This window comes from Homo sapiens, chromosome 20 (assembly GCF_000001405.40).
Source record: "Homo sapiens chromosome 20, GRCh38.p14 Primary Assembly".
NCBI classification, from domain to species: domain Eukaryota; kingdom Metazoa; phylum Chordata; class Mammalia; order Primates; family Hominidae; genus Homo; species Homo sapiens.
The window spans coordinates 23,043,575-23,052,902 of record NC_000020.11 but is presented as its reverse complement, the minus strand read 5'-3'; the positions used below and the strand labels follow the sequence as shown (position 1 = coordinate 23,052,902).

The window sequence follows — 9,328 nt, the reverse complement described above, 5'->3', positions numbered from 1 at the left end:
GGGAAAGATGGGGTAAGGGTCCCTTCTAGAATACTCCCTCCCCAATCTCCTTGGACACTGCTATCACTGCCAGGGGAATGGGTAAGTTCACCAAAAGGTGGGTTGTAAAGAGATGATGAAGACCACCAGCAAAACCTTGAGAATGGCCACTCTAGTGGGTGGTACAAGAGGATCCCAGGGGCCTCCCCAAGGCTCACAGGAGAGGAAGGGAGGAAAACATGTGTCTCAAAAGTAATTGGAGGAGGAGCCTTGAGAATGGTGAAGGGTCACAAGTGCAAATGGCACCAAGGCTTCTAGAAGGATGGCTGAAAACAAGATTTTGGCAACAGTATTTAGGACCAGATGGGTGTTCTTCAAGGGAGCTGTTTCAGGAGTAAAGCAAGTCTGCTGGTGGGCCAGAGTGAGGGTGCTGGGCCAGGAACTGGGCCAAGCATTGGGAAGTGGATGTGTTATCTGCAAAGGGATAGGAAGGAGTGGCCCACCCTGGTGTGCAGGGGGCACAGATAGGAAGATAGGGATGGGGCAAGAACACAGACAGGGGACCTTCAGTCACCAGAAGGTAGTCTAAAATATGCAAAGCCTCCAAGGTATTGGCTGGAGAGGAAAAACAAAGCGGCTGAGGGCAGGCCCCACAAGGCAAAGGTATCCTGAGGGTCAGGGGTAAAGCCCTTACAGGTGGGAAAGCCAAGTGGGTCATGTCCACCCATCCTTGTGTAGGGCAACCCAGACACTGTGGTACCCCCCATGGGACAATGCTCTGCTTCTATCTGTTGTTGCTCTAGTTTCTTTCTAATACAGAAACATCCAACATCTGCACCTCCTCATATAGGGTTGATCCAAGTTTCACAGACATCACTGAGTTCTTAGTGGACTCAGCTATTGGGGCTGTTCTCACACTTTTTTTTTCTTTGCAAGAATCAGCAATGGGTGCAAGTGGACCTGTGTAGGACGTCCAGTGAAACATTGTGTTGGTGAATCAGCTAGAATCCATCCAAGAACTCAGCCAGCCTGGTGTGGGGTGAGATCTGATCCTTGAATGTCCCTCAGTGGCTTTTAGGGCTGGCAGGTTCAGAAGGGCCCTCTCATCACCCCCCCAGGGCCTCATTCCTTGTTTAACACTTTGCTATCACAGTCTTGAATCCTTGTAATTGAACAATGGACCCCACATTTTCACTTTGCACTGGTTTCTGATTCTGTAACCGATCCTGTCCCCCTCTCTTGTCTCATTCACTCTGGGAATTGTCCCCACATTCTGAGACCTTTCAGCAGTGCCCCAACGAGGTTCCTGCCCTTATCTGAAGCTCCACCCTCACCCCCATGGCGGCACCGCAGGCAGCCCTGCTTTTGCGTCCCGCGTAGGCAGGCTGTGCACCGGAGTCACGACCCCCTGATTCAGCCTAGGCAGCCACAGCTTGACTGCTCCCGCCGGACAAGCCCTACTGTGCTATCTGCCGCTCTTCCCTTCCTCTTCCCAGGGGGTCCGCGTCAGGGGAGGCGCAGCTGTGTGCATTCCGGGAGCTTCAGACCCCCGTGTCCAGCAGCTCCTTCGTTTCCTGGGTGCTGGGGCGGCCTTCCCAGCGAAGAGCTCAACTCAGCGGGACGTTTGGAGGCTCTCTGCCCCAAGGCGCTGGGGAGTGTGCGGCGGGACAGTCGTGCTTGCCTTTTTCACTTTCAGAGTGTCCACGCCCCACCCGTTTGGTCACTGCAGGTCAGTCCAGTCCAGCCCGGCCCACCCCACCGGTGCGTGTCTGTCGCACGTGGCAGACGCCATACTCTCTGTTCTTGTTTAAAGCCCAGGATCTACTGGGCCCTGGAGGCAAGAGGTGAACGCAGCGGAATCCACGCTGAGCTGCCCGGGAACGGAGCTTCCAACCCCAGAAGGAGGACTCTGTGCTCCTACACCTTAACCCTTTTTAGCCCGAAACTTCTCCAACTTCCTTGGCTTTGTTTAGAGCTCGACAGCGCCGCCCCCTGGCGCTCGTTGTGAGGACAGTAGAGGAGAGAGGCAAGGGTGTTTTTAAACAGTTTGCCTCTCACCATTATGGGGGCGACCCGAGGGGGAGACCCACTCTTCCGCATTCCCGGTAAGTGAACCACCGGAAGAGGTCGAAAGTGACGGATTCCCATGTCCTCCTCCAGCCCCCCCCCCACCCTGCCCATCCACAGGACGGTGGCTCTTCAGTGCCCTTTGCCGAGCAAGTGGCGTTTCTATGCACGTGGGTATCAATTCGGACTCTGGACGAAATGGAAACCTCCTTAGCCGACCCGGGTGGGATCAGCTGGGATCCTGCGCGCTCCCCTGGGGGGTTGCCAGCCACTCTGTTGGGGTGCAAGAAGCACCATCCTTCGGAAGCTGGGCCGAAACTGGCCAGGCTGACTCGCTCCCACGCGCCCGCCCCTACCCGGCGCCGCAGCAATTCACCTGCCACCGCCTCTGAGCCGGGTCCGGACTTCGGCGCCCTGACAGTGTCCCCGCGACTTCCCCACCCGATGAGATGGGGTCTGGCGTTGGCCAGTGCGTGTCCAGGGACTCGCGGGTCCCTGGCCAGCCATGGGGCAGAGGGCGCTGGTGTTAGGCCAGTCTTCCCCACCCTGCCCCGTCACCCCAGCCACACCCACTGTCCTGTGAGGCCAAGCGCGCTCCGCTGGTTTCCTGAGCCAGGCACCTTGGCCGCGGACAGGATCCAGCTGTCTCTCCTTGCGATCCTGTCTTCGGGGAAGTCCACGTCCTAGGCAGGTCCTCCCAAAGTGCCCTTGGTGCCGATCACCCCTCCCAGCGTCTTGCAGGTCCTGTGCACCACCTCCCCCACTCCCCATTCAAAGCCCTCTTCTCTGAAGTCTCCGGTTCCCAGAGCTCTTGCAATCCAGGCTTTCCTTGGAAGTGGCTGTAACATGTATGAAAAGAAAGAAAGGAGGACCAAGAGATGAAAGAGGGCTGCACGCGTGGGGGCCCGAGTGGTGGGCGGGGACAGTCGTCTTGTTACAGGGGTGCTGGCCTTCCCTGGCGCCTGCCCCTGTCGGCCCCGCCCGAGAACCTCCCTGCGCCAGGGCAGGGTTTACTCATCCCGGCGAGGTGATCCCATGCGCGAGGGCGGGCGCAAGGGCGGCCAGAGAACCCAGCAATCCGAGTATGCGGCATCAGCCCTTCCCACCAGGCACTTCCTTCCTTTTCCCGAACGTCCAGGGAGGGAGGGCCGGGCACTTATAAACTCGAGCCCTGGCCGATCCGCATGTCAGAGGCTGCCTCGCAGGGGCTGCGCGCAGCGGCAAGAAGTGTCTGGGCTGGGACGGACAGGAGAGGCTGTCGCCATCGGCGTCCTGTGCCCCTCTGCTCCGGCACGGCCCTGTCGCAGTGCCCGCGCTTTCCCCGGCGCCTGCACGCGGCGCGCCTGGGTAACATGCTTGGGGTCCTGGTCCTTGGCGCGCTGGCCCTGGCCGGCCTGGGGTTCCCCGCACCCGCAGAGCCGCAGCCGGGTGGCAGCCAGTGCGTCGAGCACGACTGCTTCGCGCTCTACCCGGGCCCCGCGACCTTCCTCAATGCCAGTCAGATCTGCGACGGACTGCGGGGCCACCTAATGACAGTGCGCTCCTCGGTGGCTGCCGATGTCATTTCCTTGCTACTGAACGGCGACGGCGGCGTTGGCCGCCGGCGCCTCTGGATCGGCCTGCAGCTGCCACCCGGCTGCGGCGACCCCAAGCGCCTCGGGCCCCTGCGCGGCTTCCAGTGGGTTACGGGAGACAACAACACCAGCTATAGCAGGTGGGCACGGCTCGACCTCAATGGGGCTCCCCTCTGCGGCCCGTTGTGCGTCGCTGTCTCCGCTGCTGAGGCCACTGTGCCCAGCGAGCCGATCTGGGAGGAGCAGCAGTGCGAAGTGAAGGCCGATGGCTTCCTCTGCGAGTTCCACTTCCCAGCCACCTGCAGGCCACTGGCTGTGGAGCCCGGCGCCGCGGCTGCCGCCGTCTCGATCACCTACGGCACCCCGTTCGCGGCCCGCGGAGCGGACTTCCAGGCGCTGCCGGTGGGCAGCTCCGCCGCGGTGGCTCCCCTCGGCTTACAGCTAATGTGCACCGCGCCGCCCGGAGCGGTCCAGGGGCACTGGGCCAGGGAGGCGCCGGGCGCTTGGGACTGCAGCGTGGAGAACGGCGGCTGCGAGCACGCGTGCAATGCGATCCCTGGGGCTCCCCGCTGCCAGTGCCCAGCCGGCGCCGCCCTGCAGGCAGACGGGCGCTCCTGCACCGCATCCGCGACGCAGTCCTGCAACGACCTCTGCGAGCACTTCTGCGTTCCCAACCCCGACCAGCCGGGCTCCTACTCGTGCATGTGCGAGACCGGCTACCGGCTGGCGGCCGACCAACACCGGTGCGAGGACGTGGATGACTGCATACTGGAGCCCAGTCCGTGTCCGCAGCGCTGTGTCAACACACAGGGTGGCTTCGAGTGCCACTGCTACCCTAACTACGACCTGGTGGACGGCGAGTGTGTGGAGCCCGTGGACCCGTGCTTCAGAGCCAACTGCGAGTACCAGTGCCAGCCCCTGAACCAAACTAGCTACCTCTGCGTCTGCGCCGAGGGCTTCGCGCCCATTCCCCACGAGCCGCACAGGTGCCAGATGTTTTGCAACCAGACTGCCTGTCCAGCCGACTGCGACCCCAACACCCAGGCTAGCTGTGAGTGCCCTGAAGGCTACATCCTGGACGACGGTTTCATCTGCACGGACATCGACGAGTGCGAAAACGGCGGCTTCTGCTCCGGGGTGTGCCACAACCTCCCCGGTACCTTCGAGTGCATCTGCGGGCCCGACTCGGCCCTTGCCCGCCACATTGGCACCGACTGTGACTCCGGCAAGGTGGACGGTGGCGACAGCGGCTCTGGCGAGCCCCCGCCCAGCCCGACGCCCGGCTCCACCTTGACTCCTCCGGCCGTGGGGCTCGTGCATTCGGGCTTGCTCATAGGCATCTCCATCGCGAGCCTGTGCCTGGTGGTGGCGCTTTTGGCGCTCCTCTGCCACCTGCGCAAGAAGCAGGGCGCCGCCAGGGCCAAGATGGAGTACAAGTGCGCGGCCCCTTCCAAGGAGGTAGTGCTGCAGCACGTGCGGACCGAGCGGACGCCGCAGAGACTCTGAGCGGCCTCCGTCCAGGAGCCTGGCTCCGTCCAGGAGCCTGTGCCTCCTCACCCCCAGCTTTGCTACCAAAGCACCTTAGCTGGCATTACAGCTGGAGAAGACCCTCCCCGCACCCCCCAAGCTGTTTTCTTCTATTCCATGGCTAACTGGCGAGGGGGTGATTAGAGGGAGGAGAATGAGCCTCGGCCTCTTCCGTGACGTCACTGGACCACTGGGCAATGATGGCAATTTTGTAACGAAGACACAGACTGCGATTTGTCCCAGGTCCTCACTACCGGGCGCAGGAGGGTGAGCGTTATTGGTCGGCAGCCTTCTGGGCAGACCTTGACCTCGTGGGCTAGGGATGACTAAAATATTTATTTTTTTTAAGTATTTAGGTTTTTGTTTGTTTCCTTTGTTCTTACCTGTATGTCTCCAGTATCCACTTTGCACAGCTCTCCGGTCTCTCTCTCTCTACAAACTCCCACTTGTCATGTGACAGGTAAACTATCTTGGTGAATTTTTTTTTCCTAGCCCTCTCACATTTATGAAGCAAGCCCCACTTATTCCCCATTCTTCCTAGTTTTCTCCTCCCAGGAACTGGGCCAACTCACCTGAGTCACCCTACCTGTGCCTGACCCTACTTCTTTTGCTCTTAGCTGTCTGCTCAGACAGAACCCCTACATGAAACAGAAACAAAAACACTAAAAATAAAAATGGCCATTTGCTTTTTCACCAGATTTGCTAATTTATCCTGAAATTTCAGATTCCCAGAGCAAAATAATTTTAAACAAAGGTTGAGATGTAAAAGGTATTAAATTGATGTTGCTGGACTGTCATAGAAATTACACCCAAAGAGGTATTTATCTTTACTTTTAAACAGTGAGCCTGAATTTTGTTGCTGTTTTGATTTGTACTGAAAAATGGTAATTGTTGCTAATCTTCTTATGCAATTTCCTTTTTTGTTATTATTACTTATTTTTGACAGTGTTGAAAATGTTCAGAAGGTTGCTCTAGATTGAGAGAAGAGACAAACACCTCCCAGGAGACAGTTCAAGAAAGCTTCAAACTGCATGATTCATGCCAATTAGCAATTGACTGTCACTGTTCCTTGTCACTGGTAGACCAAAATAAAACCAGCTCTACTGGTCTTGTGGAATTGGGAGCTTGGGAATGGATCCTGGAGGATGCCCAATTAGGGCCTAGCCTTAATCAGGTCCTCAGAGAATTTCTACCATTTCAGAGAGGCCTTTTGGAATGTGGCCCCTGAACAAGAATTGGAAGCTGCCCTGCCCATGGGAGCTGGTTAGAAATGCAGAATCCTAGGCTCCACCCCATCCAGTTCATGAGAATCTATATTTAACAAGATCTGCAGGGGGTGTGTCTGCTCAGTAATTTGAGGACAACCATTCCAGACTGCTTCCAATTTTCTGGAATACATGAAATATAGATCAGTTATAAGTAGCAGGCCAAGTCAGGCCCTTATTTTCAAGAAACTGAGGAATTTTCTTTGTGTAGCTTTGCTCTTTGGTAGAAAAGGCTAGGTACACAGCTCTAGACACTGCCACACAGGGTCTGCAAGGTCTTTGGTTCAGCTAAGCTAGGAATGAAATCCTGCTTCAGTGTATGGAAATAAATGTATCATAGAAATGTAACTTTTGTAAGACAAAGGTTTTCCTCTTCTATTTTGTAAACTCAAAATATTTGTACATAGTTATTTATTTATTGGAGATAATCTAGAACACAGGCAAAATCCTTGCTTATGACATCACTTGTACAAAATAAACAAATAACAATGTGCTCTCGGGTTGTGTGTCTGTTCACTTTTCCTCCCTCAGTGCCCTCATTTTATGTCATTAAATGGGGCTCACAAACCATGCAAATGCTATGAGATGCATGGAGGGCTGCCCTGTACCCCAGCACTTGTGTTGTCTGGTGGTGGCACCATCTCTGATTTTCAAAGCTTTTTCCAGAGGCTATTATTTTCACTGTAGAATGATTTCATGCTATCTCTGTGTGCACAAATATTTATTTTCTTTCTGTAACCATAACAACTTCATATATGAGGACTTGTGTCTCTGTGCTTTTAAATGCATAAATGCATTATAGGATCATTTGTTGGAATGAATTAAATAAACCCTTCCTGGGGCATCTGGCGAATCCCAGCTGTGTGTCCGGTGTATGGTTTGGCATTATCTCCTCTGCGAGATATCCAAATTCACTGTAGTCATGAAGGGTCTCAGTTTGTGGCTCTCATTCAAATATTCATTTCTAAACGTCTCATCCAGTATGAAATCATTCTCATCTCTTTTGGAGATTAACAACATCATCTTTTCAATGCACACGTTTCTTGGGCTCACTTTTCTAAGGTGGTAGGGCTGGCTGAATGCAATATGCAGGGCTCGGAAAGATTTTTTAAAGAAGAAATTAAAAGCAAGTAGAGTCCAGGCAAATATTCAGATGCTTTATATGTCTGGATAATGCTGAACTCATGAGTTTTAGTTTGACTGATTATTGTGAAGACCGGGTTGGAGATTTTGACATCCATCGCAGAAGAAGTAATGGCTTTAGTGTGTGTGTGTGTGTGCTGGGGAAGCTCCATGCACAGTGCCCTATGGAGATAACAAGCTGAGCCATGCTCCCCCTAAGTAGCAGACTAAGTCTTTGTGAAGGAAGAGCTACACAAATGGGGGCAGGACAGGTGCAGATAAATGGGGCTGGGAGACCAGAGGAGACAGTGACACCTTATAGTTCGCCCCCTGTTACCCAGCCTTCTGTTTGTCAAAAGAGTCTGCTCCCAGTCACTGTCAAACTGACTTGTAGGGCCTCATTGCGTTAGGATTTCTTCTTATTCCAGAAGAGGGGCATTTTCTTAAGGAACACTGGAAGACCAAAACACACTTTCAAAACCTAGAGGCAAAAACCCTTCATGCAGCACTTGGGCCCCAGGACATTAGTTGTGCGGGGCCCTGAGCTTCCCTGTCCTCCTCACTTCCTGCTGCCTGGGGGATCAGCAGTTCTGTTTATAGGTCTCATCTGAACTTGAGATTCTCAAAACGCTAAATAGCCATAGTGCCTCTCAGGGAAAGATACCAGGACCACATAAACAAATCAGTTAGCTTTAAAAACTATCCCTGAGAATTTAAAATCAGGATAGACCTTGTGAAACCAGAGCCATGGGTCAACCTGTGTGATCTCTGCTTTCTGTTCACATCATTGGACATCCAGGTCTGAGGGAGACTCCCAGGGACCAGTTGCTGGTGAAATTTCATAGCACAAAAGTCCGGGGCAAGAAAGCCAAGGTGGTATTTCTGGATAAGCCAGCATTCAAGTTTGTTTGTTTGTTTGTTTGTTTGTTTTTCCTAGCCTGCTGTTTTAAAGTAAACAGAATGCATTTTTTTAAGTCAAATGACTTTGTTATTTTTTTTTTCCAGTTCTCACCTATTTCTTAGATTAGTTCAGCAATTATTTACTGAGCATTTACTCTGTGCCTTTCATAGTGATAGGCACAATGACAAGTCCCTACCATATAAGTTAGACTCTGGCAGGGGAGAAAGATGCAAAACAACTGATCACCCCCAAATTGTACTTAACTTAGAAACAGTGATAAGTGCAGGGGAAGAAAAGCACAGCACACTCTGAAAAGGCGCACGAGGAAGGCAGGATTTAGAGTGGAGGACTAGAGGGAGCTTCCTGGACAAGCTGACACTTAACACCAGACCTGAAGGGGAAGGAGGGGTTTGTCAAATGCAAACTGGAGGGGAAGCAGTCCAGGTGGGAAGGATCACACCTGCAAAGGCCCTGTACTGGGAAGAGCCCTGGTGGAGCGGACTGGGCATAGTGAACAAGGTGAGGTGGGCTGCAAGGCAGCTGAAGAGGTGGAAAGAGAGATACAAGCAGTGGGAGATGACTGTAGGGGCTGTAGGTCAAAGACACTGAAAAAAAGACTGAAAGAGTGACATTGAAAAATGTTCTGGGTGCAAGTGGGGGCACTCAAGGAGTTTTGATGAGAGTGCACTGGGATTCAATTTATGTACTGCATTGTTTGGGAAGATAACAACTACTTCTAGATGTATTTACATGTCCCTCTTGGGCAGGAACCTGCACAATTTCCGCTGTAAGCACCCCGCAGGGCTGATATGTGGTGTGAACAGCATACACACCTGGGTGTGACCCCAGCCTGAAACCTGCTGGTCACATGGCCACGGGCACCACATGACCCT

At 53.8% G+C, this 9,328-nt stretch overlaps 1 protein-coding gene across 1 annotated transcript; it reads left to right on the top strand.

Moving 5' to 3' along the window:
- THBD (thrombomodulin) lies at positions 3,231 to 7,270 on the top strand. Its single transcript, NM_000361.3, has one exon. The coding sequence runs from the start codon at positions 3,399 to 3,401 to the stop codon at positions 5,124 to 5,126; it is 1,728 nt and encodes a 575-aa protein (NP_000352.1). The 5' UTR covers positions 3,231 to 3,398; the 3' UTR covers positions 5,127 to 7,270.

What these genes read in the sequence shown, in the direction of transcription:
- THBD (NM_000361.3), top strand. Translation starts at nt 3,399, where the DNA reads ATGCTTGGGGTCCTGGTCCTTGGCGCGCTGGCCCTGGCCGGCCTGGGG.